Here is a 19,463-nt window from a genome sequence, read left to right as displayed (position 1 = left end):
AACATTACTCTGTACCCCATAAATGTATACAATTTTGATTAGTCAACCAAATATACTAGTAATACATGTTTTTTTTTAAATTAACTTTAAAAAACTGGGCCAGAGAAATAAATGTTTCTTCATATCTTATAATTTCAGGAAAATATACATATATTTTTAATTACACATGGCTTGCTTACTTAGTGATGTAGATAAGTAAACTTTTGATATTGTGAATAGTCTGAACCTACCACTCAATAATAAAATGTTAATTATTACTGTTCAGAATAATACAATTCTTTCTTTCTTTTTCTTTCTCTTTCTTTCTTTCTTTTTCTTTTTCTTTTTTTTTTTGAGACGGAGTTTTGCTCTTGTTGCCCAGGCTGGAGTGCAATGGTGCAGTCTCGGCTCACTGCCGTCTCTGCCTCCCAGGCTGAACCGATTCTCCTGCCTCAGCCTCCCAAGTAGCTGGGATTACAGGCATGTGCCACCATGTCCAGCTAGTTTTGCATTTTTAGTAGAGACGGGGTTTCTCCATGTTGGTCAGGCTGGTCTCAAACTCCCGACCTCAGGAGATCCACTTGCCTCAGCCTCCCAAAGTGCTCGGATTACAGGCGTGAGCCACTGTGCCTGGCCTTATTTGATAATAGAATACTTTCAAAGACAGACTCTAAAGCAACTGTTTAAAGTAAAATCTTCTCAACATAAATGATTTTCTTCACTTATAAAGTTATTTAAATATATATTTTAAACTACCTTTAAATTTATAAAGTGAACATAAAAAATTAGCTGGCAAAAAAGAATTTATTAAACAAATAGATCAGAAAACAATTTGCCTCTTTCTCTAATTTTAAAACTGACAACACTCAGCATTTAAGTGCTTATTCTCTAGTGTTACTAGAGTGGTAAAGAGCAGAACAAGATGAGGGATCTCTTTTTAGTATTTATATTCATGCTGTATGAGAATATATGAAAATTTGCCAAGGATAGTATTAAAAATATCCATCGACTATTATAATCCCAAACTGACCAATTAAAATGAACATAAATTACAACCCCCTGGTGTGGCCACCTTGTTGATCCCAGGCTTAACATTGGTCCTGATCTAAAAAACTTTACAAATCACCAGAGCTAATAAATTTTCTGTACACTCGCTCTATGCTGGGCACTCTTCTGACACCTTCATTTGTATTAATTGCTTTAATTTTATCAAAACCCTAGGATTTAGGCAGTATTATCCTTACTGTACAGCTGAAGAGTCAAGCACAGAGATGTCAAGAAACTGTCTCCAGGTCACACAGCCCATAAGTGGCAGAACCAGGATGTAATCAGGGACCACCAGATAGCGAGCTTTAATATTAGCCCTTATGGCCAGCCCCCTCTCACTCAATTTTTTTTTCCATTTTTTATTTAACATTTTTGCTTTGAATTTTCTAATTTATTAGAAATGAAGCAGAATTTAAAAACAACTTTTTTCACCCCTAGATAGTATAGAGAACTTCATTTAGGGTTCAAAGGGCTCAAAACAAAGCCTATCACAAATATTTTGGTTGGTAAATGGTTTCTAATGACCTTATTCCTCCCATTACTTAAAAGAGTCACTAATGGTACTTTTGAAAAATATCTTTTATATTAAAAGCTAGAATGAAGCTGAGTGCAGTGGCTCAAACCTACAATCCTAGCACTTTGGGAGGCCCAGGCAGGTGGATTACTTGAGGTTAGGAGTTCGAGAACAGCTTGGCCAACATATTGAAACTCCGTCTCTACTAAAAACACAAAAATTAGCTGGGTGTGATAGCCGGTGCCTGTAATCCCAGCTACTTGGGAGTCTGAGGCAGGAGAATCACTTGAACTTGGGAGGCAGAGGTTGCAGTGAGCCGATATCACACCACTGCACTCCAGCCTGGGCAACAGAGCAAAACTCCATCTGAAAAAAAAAAAAAAAAGCTAGAATAAGCCTATTATTTTATTTAAAATTTGTGATCTAAATGTACATCATTATTCATTGAGTGGTCTAAAGTTTCTGAAAGTTTTGAAAACACTAATATAAGAATACTTTTTCAGTCAAGTGCAGTGGCTCACGCCTATAATCCCAGCACTTTGGGGGGCCGAGATGGGCAGATCACGAGGTGAGGAGTTCGAGACCAGCCTGGCCAACATGGTGAAACCCTGTCTCTACTAAAAATACAAAAATTAGCTGGGCATGGTGGCACGTGCCTGTAATCCCAGCTATTCAACAGGCTGAGACAGGAGAATCACTTGAATCTGAGAGGCAGAGGTTGCAGTTAGCTGAGGTCACGCCACTGCACCCTATCCTGGGTGACAGAGCGAAACTCTGTCTCAAAAAAAAAAAAAAAAAGAATACTTTTTCATATAGAATGATTAAAGCATATTGTTTTCTCAGTGACTAAAATGAAACAAATTACAATTACTAACCAGTCACTTACAACATGGTTTTAAATATTATTTAATGACCACATGTGTAGTTTCCTTGAACTCATTTTAACAACTTATTTCTATTGCTTCTTCACTTCTATTAGAAAAAAATTAAAATTTATGTTGCTAAAAGCCTATGAATTTTGTTCTAATCTTAGTGATCATCTTAAAATACCTTATATGCTTATGATCATAGAAACCCTATTTACCATTTACATTTAGAAGAGAAATAACTACTTTGCATTAGACCAAACAGAGTAATTCTTTTTTTTTATTGTTTTCTGATTTTTGAGATGGAGTCTCACTCTGTCGCCCAGGCTGGAGTGCAGTGGTGCGATCTCAGCTCACTGCAACCTCCGCCTCCTGGGTTCAAGCAATTCTCCTGCCTCAGCCTCCTGAATAGTTGGCATTACAGGCATGCACCACCATGCCCGGCTAATTTTTTCTATTTTTAGTAGAGATGGGGTTTCTCCATATTGGCCAGGCTGGTCTTGAACTCCTGACCTTGTGATCTGCCCACCTCAGCCTCCCAAAGTGCCAGGATCACAGGCGTGGGCCACCGCACCTGGCCAATTCTTGCTATCTTATAAGCAATTACAATATTAATACCATCACCTAGATAGAACTTAAAGATAACTCAGTTTTTCTGTGCTGTTTCTGTTATTTAACTTGTCAGCAATAGCAATAGAAACTCGGATATTTACAGCATATTCTGGGTCCAGCAGAACATGGGAGGAGCCAATATACTTCAGGGCTTTTACTTTCGCTTGGAAACCTTTAGTTTCTGGTGCTGACGGCAATGTAGTGGAAGACACTAAAAATCAGGTGTTGCCACCTGTCACATGATTGGTCACTCTGTGAACACAATAAACATCTTTGCATGAAAAATAACTGAGTAATTGTTTTAATCTAAATCTGCCATAATCTCCAAAATTTTCCCAGAGAAAATGACCAAAATGTTGGCTACGGTTAGGTGAGTAAGTGAAAACTGTAGACTGAATCTCACCCACTAAAAAATAATCATAAAATAATAGAAAAATCTCTCAAGATTGTAACATTAATATGAAACATTATATGTTCATAATATGTAACATTAATATGAAAAGGAAATATTATTCCAATTTTTAAATTCATAGAGCTCATTTTATTTGCAACATTTAACATTCACACTCAAAAATACAAGATCCTGCATGAAAACTTAAGTTGTGCTATAAATATATCGTAAAATTACATTTAATAATTATCCGTTAATATTAACTCTCCTGTACTTGTGATCCACCTGCCTCAGATTTCTAAGATATATTTTCTAAATAATTTTGTATATGCTTCAGTTTGTCTTAGAATCTAATAAAAAATTTTTTTACAAAGACAAATAGTGCTATCTGACTTAATTGTCTCACCTGTGGACAGTGTATGCCTCTTATCTCAATTAACTTATGTGGAAGCTACACTGAGAAGCTATAAATAAGCTGAAACTCCCAAGTTTAACACAGTTTTTCACCATATTAAAAAATTCCAATTTTCTCATCAGAACCTACAAAGTACTGTGTGAAATGATGTGGCACAGAGAGAACAGTGAGAAAGCTGTAGCCATAGCACAGAAATAAATGGGAAGGGCTGTGATGGACACATCACTAGGATAAACATAAAAAGTCACAAAACAAAAGATAATCAGAAAATTTAAAAAGTAGAATTTTTATTTAAATTCAGAGAGGCCATTTTGCAACCTAAGAACTGATGTCCTCTGCACATGCAGAATCAATGTTATATTTTCATCATGAATATTTTCCATCTGTGATTGAGTGTTACAAAGAAAATCAAGCAGGAATAACTATGGCTAATTATGAAGCATCTAGTACACAGATAGTCCTATCTTATATTTGTGCATTAGTCTCTTTTTACACTGCTGTAGAGATACTACCCAAGACTGGAACATTTATAATGAAAGGAAGTTTAGTTGATTCACAGTTCCACATGGCTGGGGAGGCCTCAAGAACCTTACAATAATGGCAGAAGGTGAAAGAGAAGCAGGTATCTTCTTTACTAGGTGGCAGTAGAGAGGGAGAGCAGAAAAATTACCACTTATAAAACCATCCGATCTCATGACAACTCACTCACTATCATGAAAACACGATGGGTATCATTCTGCTCCTGGCCGCTCCCAAATCTCATGCCCTTTTTATATTTCAAAACCAAACATGCTTTCCCAACAGTCCCCAAAACTCTTAACTCATTTTAGCATTAACCCAAAAGTCTAACTCCAAAGTCTCGTCCCTGCTACCTATGAGCCTGTAAATCAAAAGCAAGTTAGTTACTTCCAAGATACAATGGGGGTACAGGCATTAGATAAATTCTTCCATTTCAAATGTGAGAAATTTGCCAAAACCAAAGAGCTACAGGCCTCATGCAAGTTTGAATTCCAACGGGGCAGTAATAAAATCTTAAAGCTCTGAGATGATCTCATTTGACTTCATGTCCCACTCCTGGGCCATGCTGATTCAAGGGGTGGGCCCTCGTGGCCTTGAGCAGCTCCTTCATGGACTGGAATTGAATGCCTGTGGCTTTTCCAGGTGCACAGTGCAAGTTCATGGTGGATCTGTCATTCTGGGGTCTGGAGTATAGAGGCCTTCTCACAGCTCCAGTAGGCAGCTTCAGGGCGGACTCTGCATGAGGGCTCCAACCCCACATTTCCCTTCTGCATTGCCCTATTACAGGTTCTCCATGAGGGCTCTGCCCCTGTAGAAGACTTTTGCCTGAACATCCCGGCATTTTTATCCATCCTCTGAAATCTAGGCAGAGGTTCCCAGAGCTCAACTCTTGTTTTATGTGCACTCACATGCCCAATACCACACGGAAGCCACCAAGGCTTGAGGATTGCACTTTCTGAAGAAATAACCCAAGCTTGTACCTTGGCCCCTTTTAGCCACAGCTGGATCTGGAGCAGCTGGGATGCAGGACACCAAGTCCTGAGGCTTCACAGAGCAGTGGGGCCCTGGGCCTCGACCATGAAACCATTGTTTCTCCCTAGGGCTCCTGGCCTGTGATGGAAGGACCTGCCTCAGATCTTTAACATGACCTGAAGACATTTTCCCCATTGTCTTGGCTATCAACATTCAGCTTCTCTTTACTTTTGCAAATTTCTGCAGTGCCTTGAATTTCTTTTCAAAAAATGTGGTTTTATTTTCTACGTCATGGTCAGGCTGCAAATTTTCCAAATTTTTATATTCTGCTTCCATTTTAAACATAAGTTTCTCATCTCCATCTGAGACCACCTCAACATGGACTTCATCATTCATATGGCTATTAGCATTTTGGTCAAAAGCATTCAACAAGTCTCTAGGAAGTTCCAAACTCTCCCACATTTCTTTTTCTGAGCTCCCTAAACTTTCAACTTCTGCCTATTACTCAGTTCCAAATTCACTTCCACATTTTCAATTATCTTTATAGCAGTGCCCCAAACTCCCAGTATTAATTTTCTATATTAGTCTGTTTTCACACTACTATAAAGATACTACCAAAGAATGGGTAATTTATACAGAAAGGAGGTTTAATTTACTCACAATTCTGCATGGCTGGGGAGGGTCTAAAGAAACCTACAATTATGGTGGAAGGCAAAGGAGAAGCAAATACCTTCCTCACTAGGCAGCAAGAGAGCAGGAAAGCAGAAAAAACCACCATTTATAAAACCATCAGATCTTTTGAGAACTCACTTACTATCATGAGAACAGCATGGGGGAAAATTACCCCCATATTCCAATCACCTCCCACCAAGTCCCTTCCTTGACATGTGGGGATTACAATTTGAGATAAGATTTGGGTGTATAAGATCTTAAAGTTACAAATTCAATACAGGGCACAGAATATGTATGTATTTTTTTCAGAATCTCTGAGGTTTCTTGGTTTCTAGTTAATTATCCACCTTATTAAAATGATCTTTTTTGTTTCAATATTGTTCTTTTCTTCTGAAAATGCATACAAACTCACAAACACACTCACTTGCTACATAACTTTCTTACACTTAAGGTATATCTTTTATTTATTTATTTTTAGATGGTGTCTCACTCTGTCACCCAGGCTGGAGTGCAGTGGTGCCATCTCAGCTCACTGCAACCTCCACCTCCCGGGTTCAAGCGATTCTCCTGCCTCAGCCTCCTGAGTAGCTGGGACTACAGGCACGCACCACCATGGCCAGTTAATTTTTGTATTTTTAGTAGAGATGGGGTTTCACCATGTTGGCCAGGCTTGTCTTGAATTCCTGACCTCAAATGACCCACTCACCTCAGCCTCCCAAAGTGCTGGGATTACAAGCATGAGCCACTGCACCCAGCTGGTGTATCTTTAGTATATTTGTATATATAACTCTATGTAAATAAAAACTAAAAGTCTGTTTTTGTTTGTCAGCAGAGAGGTCACATGTAAAAAATATATAAAACAAATTTAAAAAAATAATCAACTCAGAAATGTATGGATATTAATTATACTCATGTAATTTTTATGATCACAAAATGACCCTATGGTTAATAATTCAATTGCACATACTGAGATAACTAAAAGTTGATTGTTTGTAATACAAAGGATAAATACATGCTCGAGGTGATGAATACCTCATTTACTCTGCTGTTATAATTAAATATTGTATGTCTGTGTTAAAATATCTCATACATGCCATAAGTGTGTATGCACACTATCTACCCACAAAAGTTAAAAAAATTTTAAATAAGATAAAAAAGAATACAAATTTGACCTATGGGAACAAAATTCTTCAACTTATTTGCAGTCTAAAACCGCTGGCAGGCAAGGCATGGTGGCTCACACATGTATCCCAGCATTTTGGGAGGCCAAGGCAAGTGGATCACCTGAGGTCAGGAGTTCGAGACTAGCCTGGCCAACATGGTGAAACCCCATCTGTACTAAAAATACAAAAATTAGCCAGGTGTGGTGGCATGTGCCTGTAGTTCCAGCTACTTGGGAGACTGAGGCAGGAGAATCGCTTGGACCCAGGATGTGGAGGTTGCAGTGAGCCGAGATTGCGCCACTGCACTCCAGCCTGGGTGACAGAGCAAGACTCTGTCTCAAAACAAACAAACAAACACACACTGGCAAAAAAGAGATTACTAGACATGTCATTCCCCTACATTAACAAATACTATATTGTTACCATCTTTAACCTAGAACCTTAAGTAAGATGGGACACGTTAAAATTGATAGCAAATCAACCCTTCTTTCAAAGCACAAGTCTTAACACATTAAAAACAATTTTGTTTAATGAAAAAATTAAGTTCATACATAATCTTTAAAAAATTTTAAATTTATTGCATTTTATTACACAAAGGTACAATTGATAAAATAATTTATTACTAACATTGAAAGGTTTTCCTCTCACTAGAATTCAGAATATTACTGTGAACACCCACCTTATACGTCACTAAAACAATTTTATAAGTCAACCACAAAGAGCCTCTTCATTTAGATTTTTCATTATGCATGTTACAACCTAATGTCCTTACTCTTTCATAGGAAAGTTCATGAATAATGGACACCTATAAAAAATAATCTCTCATATCTCTGATGCAACAATTCATCAAATACTTTCACAAACAATGGGAAGAAAGAATCAACATGAGGTAACTCGAGACTTGGGTTACATTATTATTTGCTTTTCAGAAAATGTATATTTTTTTTACAGAAAAAGAAGCATACCTCGGATGTAATTATAAATCTCCAAAAAAAAAAACTACTTCGTTAAAATGTATATAATGTTAGCTTTGGATCATTTTTATAACTAGCACCCTGATTTAGTGTAATGTCTGAAGTTTCAGTGCCTTCATTCTTTCTACTGTGAATTCTCAAATGTTTATATAGACTTAATTTTTGATTAAATATATTTTCCCCATTTGCTACATCTGCAAAAATATTTTTTAGTAGAAACTGGTGTTTTCTAAGCTGTAGTTTTTGAACAAATGTTCTTTCACATTCATTACATTTTCAGGCTTTCTCTCAAATATAAATTCTCTGACGTTCACCAAAGTTTGAGCATCTGCTTCAGGGTTTTCCTTTAATATAAAATGTGTACAATAAAATCTATATTACAAGTAAAGGTACTACAATCCTCTTTATGTTTGAAATGTTTGTCTTCAGAATAAACAGTCCTTACTTTAAAGGCCTATATTTTCTGAAGGTCTTTTTACAGTAATCACATGTATAATACTTTTTTTTTGAGATGGAGTCTTGCTGTGTTGCCCAGGCTGGAGTACAGTGGCCCAGTCTCGGCTCACCGCAACCTCCGCCCCCTGGGTTCAAGTAATTCTCCTGCCCCAGCTTCCTAAGTAGCTGGGATTACAGGTGCATGCCACCATGCCTGGCTAATTTTTCTATTTTTAGTAAAGATGGGGTTTCACCATGTTGGCCAGGATGGTCTTGAACTCTGGACCTCATGATCCACCTGCCTTGGCCTCCCAAAGTGCTGGGATTACAGTCATGAGCCACCACACCTGGCTTATAATGCTTTTATTAAGTATAAACTTTCTGATATTAAGATGTGAACAGATATTAATGGCTTTTCACATTCTTTGTATTTGTACAATTTTTCTCTGGTTATAAATGCTTTCTTGTGCCATAAGGTGTGAGAATTTGTTAAAAGTTTTGCCACATTTTTCATTTTTGTAGGAGTTTTCTTCAGTATAAATTATCTTACCTACCCTAATGTGTGACTACCATTTAAAGGCCTTGCCACATTTAACACATTTCTGGAGTTTCTCAACAGGATGATTTCTCTTTGTTAGAAAGTTTGAGGTGTGGTTAAATGCTGTGTTACATTTTTTATGTATGTAGAGTTTCTCTCCAGCATAAAATTTTTAATTAATAAGGATGGAGAACCAGTTAAAGGCTTTGCCACATTTTTTTTTTTTTTACAATTGCAGGGGTTGTCTCCAATATCAATTATCTTACATTTATTCAAACAAAAATTTGAGGACTTTTTAAAGACATTTCCATATTCCTTATTGTAGGGTTTCTTTTCAGTATTAATTTTCTTAATGTAGAATAAGGGTTCAAGACTAGTTAAAAGCTAAAGCTTTTAACTACATTTTTGTTTTTGTAGGGTTTCTCTCTAAAATGAATTATCTGATATTGTGTAAGGCCTGAGATGTGCTTAAAGGCTTTGTCACATTTTTTACCTTCATAGAGTCTCTCTAATATAAACTCTTTTAGGCTTTGGGAGGCTGAGAGGCAGTTAGATCACTTGAAGTCAGGAGTTCAAGACCAGCCTGGCCAACATGGTGAAACCCCATCTCTACTAAAAATACAAAATCAGCCAGTGTGGTTGCATGCACCTGTAATCCTAGCTACTCAGGAGGCTGAGGCAGGAGAATTGCTTGAACCCAAGAGGCAGAGGTTGCAGTGAGCTGAGATCATGCCACTGCACTCCAGCCTGGGTGACAAAGTGAGACTTCATCTCAAAAATTTTTTGTTCTCAAATAAATTCTCTTAGGTTCCTTAAGGTTTGAGGGCTGCTTAAAGGCTTTGTTACTTTTTTTTACATTTATAAGACTTTTGTTCAATATGAATTATCTTATGTACAATAAAGGTTTGGAACTGGTTAAAGGCTTGGCCACATTCTTTACACTTGTAGTGATTTTTTCAAGTATAAATTATTTTATGTATTATAAGGTCTGAAGGCTGGACTTTATCACATTATTCACATTTGTAGGGTTTCTCTCCAGTATGCATACTCTTATGATTAGCAAGACTTGAGGACCACTTAAAAGCTTTGTCACATTCTTCACATTTGTAGGGTTCCTCTCCAGTATGAATCCTCTTATGAGTATTAAGAGTTGAGGAGAAGGCAAAGGCTTTCCCACATTCTTTACATTTGTAGGGTTTCTCTCCAGTATGAATTATCTTATGTTTCTTAAGGGTTGAGGAGCAGTTAAAGGCTTTGCCACATTCTTCACATGTGTAGGGTTTCTCTCCAGTATGAATTCTCTTGTGGTAAGTGAGGGATGAGGATAAGCTAAAGGCTTTGCCACATTCTTCACATGTGTATGGTTTCTCTCCAGTATGAATTCTCTTGTGGTTAGCAAGTGTTGAGGAGCGGCTAAAGGCTTGGCCACATTCTTCACATGTGTAGGGTTTTTCTCCAGTATGAATTCTCCTATGTTTAGTAAGGGTTGAGGACCAGGTAAAAGCTTTGCCACATTCCTCACATCTGTAGGGTTTCTCTCCAGTATGAATTCTTTTATGTTTAGAAAGGGTTGAAGAGCAGTTGAAGGGTTTGCCGCATTCTTCACATTGGTAGGAATTCTCCCTAGTATGAATTATCTGATGTTGATGTAGTTGTGAAACCATGCAAAATGATTTGCCATATTTTTTACATTTGAAATGTTTCTTTCCAGTATGTCTTGTCTTATGTCTATTGGAATTTGAAAATTTGCCGAAGACTTTGACACATTTATGAGTCTGAAATATTTTGTTTTGGGTAGTTGACAAACATTGGTTAACTTCATTACAACCTCCTTTTTGCACCTCACACTCACCCATGCTTTTACATGTTTTTACTTGTAAATTGTCATGTCCACTTTTTCCATATCTTCTTGGTATTACTTTTTGGAGTGAATCTTTTATGCCTAGCTCTGGCGGAAGGTCTTGGGTGAAATGAGAACACATAACTGAAAGACATAAAAATCACAAGTTACTTCACTTACTACACCCAGATAGATATACTTTACAAATCGAATATATAAAATTATACAAGGTACTTTAGCAAAATGGCATATCAAATTACCACAGGCCATAATTCCTTCATAGGTGTATAAATGTAACAAAAACATAGTGATCAAAATACCTTTGCTGGAAATTTATAAATAAAGTGTGTGCACCAGGTGGGCACAATACCAAGAGCCATATAGACAGAAAAGAAAAGTCTGATACATTTACCCAACACAGCCCTTCTTCATCCCCAATAGAAGAACATGGTGTCTTTAGGAGTAAACTGGCTTTTATTACAAAAGACCAGAAAAATACTGGCACCTATATCTTTATTTTTGGCTTATGGAGGCCTTTCTGTCTTCCATGATAGAAAGTGCTGAATCAAATGGTAGTATGCTTTGAAATGACACCTTTAAGTCTTTTGAGATCAAAGGTGAATGTTACAACAGCAGAAAGACTGTAGTACATGGATAGAAAATAGGTGTGGAAAGTAGCTACCTACTGGTAAGAAGAAACATGGAGAAGTCTTTTAATGGAAAAATAAATACAAAATTGCAGACAAGACACATCCTGAGAACATGTTTGAGAGACTCTGTGAATCTCTAGCCAAGAAAGAAAATTGGTTTCAGGCTATGCCAAGAAAGAGCTGCATTATAAAGATCGTGAAAGGTAGTTTTATGTTAATGTTTAAATCTCAACCAAAGATTACAATGTATACAAAACATGAAGACAACATGGTCTAATCAAAAAAATCAAAAATTTTGAAAAAGCAACTACAAAAATAAAGAGGCATATATTAATTTTAAAAACATAAGATAATCCATATTATGCTCAGTGAGAAAAATGGAAAACCAGACACCTAAATAAAATTAGAAAAATAAGAATATCAACAATAGGCTTGGAATAATAAAAACAAAACAATCATGGAATTAAAAAAGAATAAGTGAAAAAATTTAGAAGTAAGAAAAAAATAATGTAAGAAATGAAGAAGCTAAACAAACTAGGATATACACAAAAAGATCCATAACACATATTTAAACAAAGTTTCAAAAGTCACTAGCCAGAAGACAATCTTGGGAGCTATAAGATAAAAGTGAGGTATTATTTATAAGCATAGTCCTCTGACACATTTGACAACAGAAAGCTTGCAGGTCAGAAAAGAACTGTGTACAATGGTCAAAGTGCTGAAAAAAAATCTTCATGGTGAGAATAATAAATGCAGCAAAAATATACTACAAAATAAAGAAAAAATAAAGATCTTCCAGAATAAACACATGCTGGAAAAGCATATAAGCACTGCATGTGCCCTAAATAAAATGCTGAAAAGAGGTCCTGCCGCTTAAAATAACATGATGAAAAAAATACATAATCATATGAAAATATATAACTTTCTGAAAAACATATGCATATACAAAAAATAAAAATCTGTGGTATTATTGTGATCATGCAGAAAACATTTTTAGTTATTCTTTAAAATTTCAAAGATATAAGCATAAAAATAATCATAAAACATAAAAAGATATAATTATCAACATCAATAAGATGTATAGGGTAGATATAATGAGGACAAATTTTTCTATGCAACTGAAGTCATTTTTTTTTACCAGTTTAAAAAATATTGTGGTAACATTTAGAGGTGTTATGAAATCTCCAGTGTAGCACAAAGAAAAAATCTTTATAGACACACAAAAGAAAATGAGTCAATTACTAGCATGAGACAAAGATTGATATTATATAATGGTAAAATAAGTCCATTTACTAGGAATCTATAACTATTATGTCTATCTATATGTATAAGTATATATAACATCAGGGTTTCAAAATATATAAAGCAAATATTGATAGAAGTGAAGCAAGAAATAAAATGGCAGCATAAAATTATAAACATTAAGACCTCACTTTCAATAATAAATAAAAAATTGAAATAAAAAATTAATTAAAAAACAGAAAACCTGAAAAACATTATATAGTGTATGAATTCATTTTGCATTGCTATAGAAAATAACCTGAGACTGGGTAATTTATAAAGAAAAAGACTTCTTTGGTTCACAGTTGAGTAGACTGTACAAGATGTATATGCCAGCACCTGTTTCTGGTGAGGATATGAGGAAGCTTACAATTATAGTGGAAGGCAAAAAAGAACCAAACATGTCACATGGTGAAAGATGATGCGAGTGTGAGGTGGAATAGCCATGTTCCTTTAAGCAACCAGCTCTCATGTGAATTAATAGAGGGAGAACTCTATGATTACCAAGGGGATTGTACCAAGTCATTCATGAGGGATTTGTCTCCACGATGCAAACACCTCTCATTAGGCCCCACATCCAACACTGGAGATTACATTTCAACATGAGATTTGGAGGGCACAGAGCTCTCCAGTCAAAAGCAAGAGGATACACAATATTTTTATTTGCACCTGGTATGTTCTGTTAGAATACATAGGTCTTAGCAAATTTCAAAAGATCAGCCAGGTGCAGTGGCTCACAGGTGTACTCTCAGCACTTTGGGAGGCCAAGGTGGAAGGATCACTTCGGGCAAGAAGTTTGATACCAGCCTTGGGAACACAGTGAGACCCAGTCTCTACAAATAATTAAAAATTAGCTGGGCATGGTGGGGTATGTCTGTAATGTCAGCCACTCAGGAGGCCAAGGTGGAAGGATTACTTGAGTCCAGGAGGTTTAGGCTGCAGTAAGCCAAGACTGTGCTACTGCACTAGAGTCTGGGCAACAGAGTGAGAAACCCCGTGTAAAAAAAAAATTTAAGAAGAGCAAAATCATACAGCCTATTTTTTCTAACCAAAACTGATAAAACTAAAAAGAAAAAAGGTAAAACTGGCAAATCAAAAATACATGGAAATAAACACACTTTTCAATGTATTCTTGCACAGGTCAAATAATTTAATTTAATTTAATATTTTTGCTCAGGGGTCAAAATAGTTAAATGACAACTTAATTTGTTAAGATGTCAATATAACCCACAGTGGTGAACAAATTTAATATAATCTGTATCAAAATTCCAAAAGTATATTTATTCCTGAAATATTGTTTAAAAATTTTAAACTTTATTTTGAACTATATCTAGAGAAACACACGTGAAAAACAGAGGCAATATACTTCTTAATTTTAAAACATAATAAAAAGCAACAATAACAATGACTATGTGGTATCCACACAAAGACAAATAAGGACATGATAGAGCAAAATAGGGGGCCCAGCAATGAACTCTTCTGTGTATGAGCAAATAATCTGCCACAAGGTTGCCATGAGCAGACAATGGAGAAAATATAATCCCTTCAACAGACAATGTTGAAAACTGGATATCTACATTGAAAAAATAAACTTGGATGCTTTAATTGCATCATATACAAAAAATATTTTAAACAAAATACTTTGGAAAAAAACTAACGAAATTCTTAGAAAAAAAATATAGTGGAAAGACATGACATTGGTCTTGGCACCATTTTCTTAGACATGCCATCAAATGCATGAGCAACAAAGAGAAGAACAGGAAAATTTAACTGGGCTAAACTTCAAAATTTCTGTAATCAAGTAACACATTTAATAGTGTGACAGTGCCACCCAAGAAATGGGTGACAATATTTGAAAATCACATGTGATAAAACTTAATATTGAGAATTTATAAACAACTCCTAGAAGTAGACAACAATAACTGAATTACTTGATTTAGAAATGGTCAAGCGAGCCAGGCGCGGTGGCTCATTCTTGTAATCCCAGAACTTTGGCAGGCCGAGGTGGGCAGATCACCTGAGGTCAGGAGTTTGAGACCAACCTGACCAACATGGTGAAACCCCATCTCTACTAAAAATACAAAATTAGCCAGGCATGGTGGCACATTCCTATAATCCCAGTTACTCAGGAGGCTGAGGCAGGAGAATCATTTGAACCCGGGAGGCAGAGGTTGCCCTGAGCCAAAATTGCCATTGCACTGCAGCCTAGGCAACAAGAGTGAAACTCAGTCTCAAAAAAAAAAAAAAAGAAAGAAAGAATTGGACAAATGATTAAACTAAATTTTAATAAAAAAAGATATACAAATGGGAAGAACTATTTGAAAGGTTGCACAAAATTAATAATTTATAGAAAAATGCAAAACAAAATCACAATACAAAACAAAATTACTTTACATCAATTAGAATAGCCAATATAAATTTTTTCAAAAACACCAACTATGTTGATGTAAAGAAATTGAAGTCTATGTAAGTTGTTGATGAGAAAAAAGATGCAGCTATCATAAAAAATATGAATGTTCTTTGAATAATTAAAAATGAAATTATACAATACAGCAATTCTATTTATAAATCTATATCTAAAATATGCAACACAGTAAAATGAAGACATAAGAGGTATCCTGCTTGTATATCCCCCCACAGCAAGTCTCATAACCCAACCTCTAAATAAATAAATACATGGATAAAAATTAAAAAATAAAAAAGTTGTAAAAAAACCTTAAACTATATTTCAAGTCTATAGTAATGACAACAGAATGGCATGTGCAGAAAAACGGACAACCACCAATGAAACAGAAACTACTATTCTCACACGTTTTAGACATGATGCAAAAAAAAATTTTTAATGGTTTAACATAGAGTTTCTCAAAAATATGCAGATATTAGCATGCCCCCAAAACAATGGTAAAGCAGTCAGTCTCTGATAAGCCATAAAGAAAACTTTGGCTCACACTGTGAACTTGAAGAAAGATTACTGAAGCGAAAGTAGAATCCTTAGAGAATTTAAAAGCATGGGGCAGAAGGTATCCCTATCTGAGAGCAAAAGAAAAAAAAATGACTCGGGCTTCTTAGAAACTCTTTCCATGGAAGCACATCTCCCCAAATCACATTTTAAGGACTGGCTTCCTCCTTGACTTTTGCACCTCTCATCTGTGTCATCCGCTTCATCCACTCTCACTTACCTGGGTGTTTGGTTACCATCTCATTTCTCTTTATATTCCAAGGCTCTTTATTTTGCTCCAGACAGGTGATCAAGTCTGGCTTAGAGACAGCAATACCTGTTTTATTAAGAAAAAAAAGTAACATAAATCTTGCTGAATTCTTTAATTACCAAACGAGTATTATGCTTAGTAAAGAGGATATAATAGAAAATTCTAGAAAATTAATATTGATTCATAACAGAACTTTTTAACTATTTAGAAAATATTTTAAATTTGTAGGTCCTTAATTTCACTACTCAGTACTACTGAATCAAAAATTGGTGGCAGCAACTGAATTCTAAGGTGTGGGCAACGATATTTTATGCCATGACATTTTTGGAATTGCCACTAACCTAGAGTGAAAGATACATAAGCTCAGGAAAGGGAAAAGTTCAGGTCAAGATAAAACATCTTGAAGAATTTGTTCTACACCAATGAATCCCCAAGATTTTCTTCAAATCAGAGAGCTAAAATTCACTCATGCAAAGCAGAAATTACCAAAAAACATTTTAGAAAAGAGAGAAAAGAAATATATTAGGAATTGTGTATTGAAGTTATCCTCACCCAGGGAGACCAGGTTTCTGTAGTTCTCTAACATCACATCTCTATATAAATTCTGCTGAGCGTGATCCAGGCATTGCCACTCCTCCAGAGAGAATTCTATGACTACATCTCTGAATGTCAACAGTCCCTGAAAAACAATAACAACAACAAAAAAACACTCATGAACACACAAACACTTACTATGTGGCCGTAGGCAGAGATTTTTATTTGACTCAAGTTAGAGAGTAAAAAGAAGTGTTTCTCACTTATAAGAGTGACTAAAATTATTCAATGATAATTTTTAACACTGAAGTATTCTCTAACTCTCCACAATACCACTGTAGATATGATACTTTTCTGGATGATAAATTATTAAATTAAGGGCATCAATATGCACATGTCTATTTTTTTCTTTTCTTTTTTCTTTTTTTTTTCCTTTTGGAGACCAAGTCTCACTCTGTTGCCCAGGGTGGAGTGCAGTGGCATGATCTTGGCTCACTGAAACCTACGCCTCCTGGGTTCAAGCGATTCTCCTGCCTCAGCTTCCCAAGTAGCTGGGACTACAGGCGTGAGCCACCATGCGTGGCAAATTTTTGTATTTTTAGTAGAGATGGGGTTTCTCCACGTTGGCCAGGCTTGTCTTGAACTCCTAACCTCAGGTGATCCACCCACCTCGGCCTCCCAAAGTGCTGGGATTACTAGCGTGAGCCCCCGCACCTGGCCTAAATTTAATTATAAAGAAACACCAGTTTTATGCAAAGTTGAAGATACAGATAACTTCCCTGTTCTGTAATTTTTAATAGTAACATTAAGTAGCCTTTCTTTAGCACCCTAGAGAGCAAGTATCTCTTAATAGGTTTTTTCAGAACTTTCTGGGTAATAAGTGCCATCCTGTTTATGTTAGCATTTTCTAAATCCTGTTCTGCATGGAACTAATAGAGCACACAGATGAAACTTCAACAAGACATGTTTCACTTTTCTTTAATATCCAAAGACAACTGTGTTTCCCCAGTAAAAATCTTGAGTATCCACACCTTCTCATGTTCAACAGCTACAATGGGAACATTTTAAATACCGCAGGTCATAAATTTGTGGTGAGAATTCTGCATGGCATACAAAAATCCAAGATGAAGAAAATATCTAGAAGGCTATGGTGTGGCCAGGCACGGTAGCTCACGCCTGTAATCCCAGCACTTTGTGGGGCCAAGGCGGGTGGATCACTTGATGTCAGGAGTTCGAGACCAGCCTGGCCAACATGGTAAAACCCTGTCTCTACTAAAAATACAAAAATTAGCTGGGCGTGGTGGCAGGCACCTGTAATCCCAGATACTAGAGAGGCTGAGGCAGGAGAATCGCTTGAACCCACAAGGCGGAGGTTGCAGTGGGCTGAGATTGTGCCATTTCACTCCAGCCTGGGGGACAAGAGTGAAAACTCGGTCTCAAAACAAACAAAACAAAACAAAACAAAACAAAAACAACAAAAAAAGAAGACTATGCTATATAGAAAAATTTTTTTTCAGAACCCCTGGACTATCATAAAAATAGCAAAAAATAATTGAAACAAACTCATTAGGTATAAACAGCACAAGCAGAGAAGTAAACATATGCATGTTCCGAACACATGGCATTCCAAAGGCAGAGTGGACACTGCATTTTTTTTTTTTTTTTTTGAGACCATCTTGCTCTGTCGAGCAGGCTGGAGTGCAGTGGTGCAATCTTGGCTCACTGTAACCTCCACCTCCTAGGTTCAAGCAATTATCCTGCCTCAGCCTCCTCAGTAGCTCAGATTACAGGTGTGTGCCACCACGCCCGGCTGATTTTTGTATTTTTAATAGAGACGGACTTTCACCATGTTGGTCAGGCTGGTCTCGAACTCCTGACCTTTTGATCCACCTGCTTCAGCCTCCCTAAGTGTTGGGATTATATGCGTAAGCCACCACGCCCGGCCCGCACACTACTCTTGATCTGAGACATGCTCACCAAGAAAAAGTGATTTTTTTCTTTTCCTCCTCTTTCTCTGAAATGTATTTTCAGATAAGATGCTCTGGACATATCAAACCTGCATCTTGAGAATATGCCTTTAAAGCACAACCTATTCACCTGCTACCGCCACACACACCCACGGCAGAAAGACCGAGACTTGCAGAAAACATTCACCCATTTTTGTTGTGTATAATTGAAAAGATTTAAGAGCAGAGAACAACGAGCTTCTCCATAACCACTAAAATATAAGTTTCTTTTTCCCTGCCCTCCCCTATCAGACTCCAGCAATGTTCTTTACAGTAATGGGAGCACGAACCGCACTGACCTCTTCCTACCAAACTGAAATAGGGCAGGCAGTGCAGCCTTCCTTTGATGCAAAGGTTGAACTAAACTCTCCTGAACGTAACTTGAACCCCTCAAGTTTATAAATCACTTGGTAATCTTGGCCCTGCTTTGTGCAAAGCGATTCTGCAGGACCCAAAAGGGTCCAGGAATGGGCTTTTTCAACAAGTCCCCTGTAAATGCTGATTGTGCTTTCCCAGACACATTATTAGCATTAGCGAGAGAAAGCAGGCACAGCAAAGAGTCCCTTACACCCACTACATTTGTCACAATATAAATACTTCTGGTACAAATAAAGACAACCAATCTCCACCCTGAAATATTATATTTTTTGTTAGCTTTTTTAAGTTTACAGAGAAAACAGAAGGCAGCAATGTCTGAGTAGGTCTGCACTTGGGAAATGTGTACACATGTACTAATAAAATGTTTATTAAGCAGGTACTATGTGCTCAGGAGCATGTCACAGAATACCGTGCTGGGAATAACACATAATGTGATTTAATTTTCATACTCTGGGAGTTGCTACTAAG

At 36.6% G+C, this 19,463-nt stretch overlaps 1 protein-coding gene and 1 pseudogene across 2 annotated transcripts in view; both read right to left on the bottom strand.

The window, feature by feature from the left end:
* On the bottom strand, positions 2,988-3,439 carry VN1R39P (vomeronasal 1 receptor 39 pseudogene; annotated as a pseudogene).
* The window catches only part of ZNF679 (zinc finger protein 679), a 38,458-nt gene continuing 29,040 nt past the window's right edge, over positions 10,046-19,463 (bottom strand). For both annotated transcript variants that reach the window (NM_153363.3, XM_017011797.1), the window contains exons 3-5: positions 16,630-16,756; positions 16,048-16,143; positions 10,046-11,081 (exon numbers count right to left, since the gene is read on the bottom strand). In NM_153363.3, coding sequence (NP_699194.2) covers positions 10,108-11,081; positions 16,048-16,143; positions 16,630-16,756 — 1,197 coding nt within the window. In that variant the 3' untranslated portion in view covers positions 10,046-10,107. The remainder of the gene's footprint in view (positions 11,082-16,047; positions 16,144-16,629; positions 16,757-19,463) is intronic.

This window comes from Homo sapiens, chromosome 7, assembly GCF_000001405.40.
Source record: "Homo sapiens chromosome 7, GRCh38.p14 Primary Assembly".
NCBI lineage: Eukaryota > Metazoa > Chordata > Mammalia > Primates > Hominidae > Homo > Homo sapiens.
Note: the sequence above shows the minus strand (reverse complement) of the source record. Positions and strands in the feature narration are given on the sequence as shown.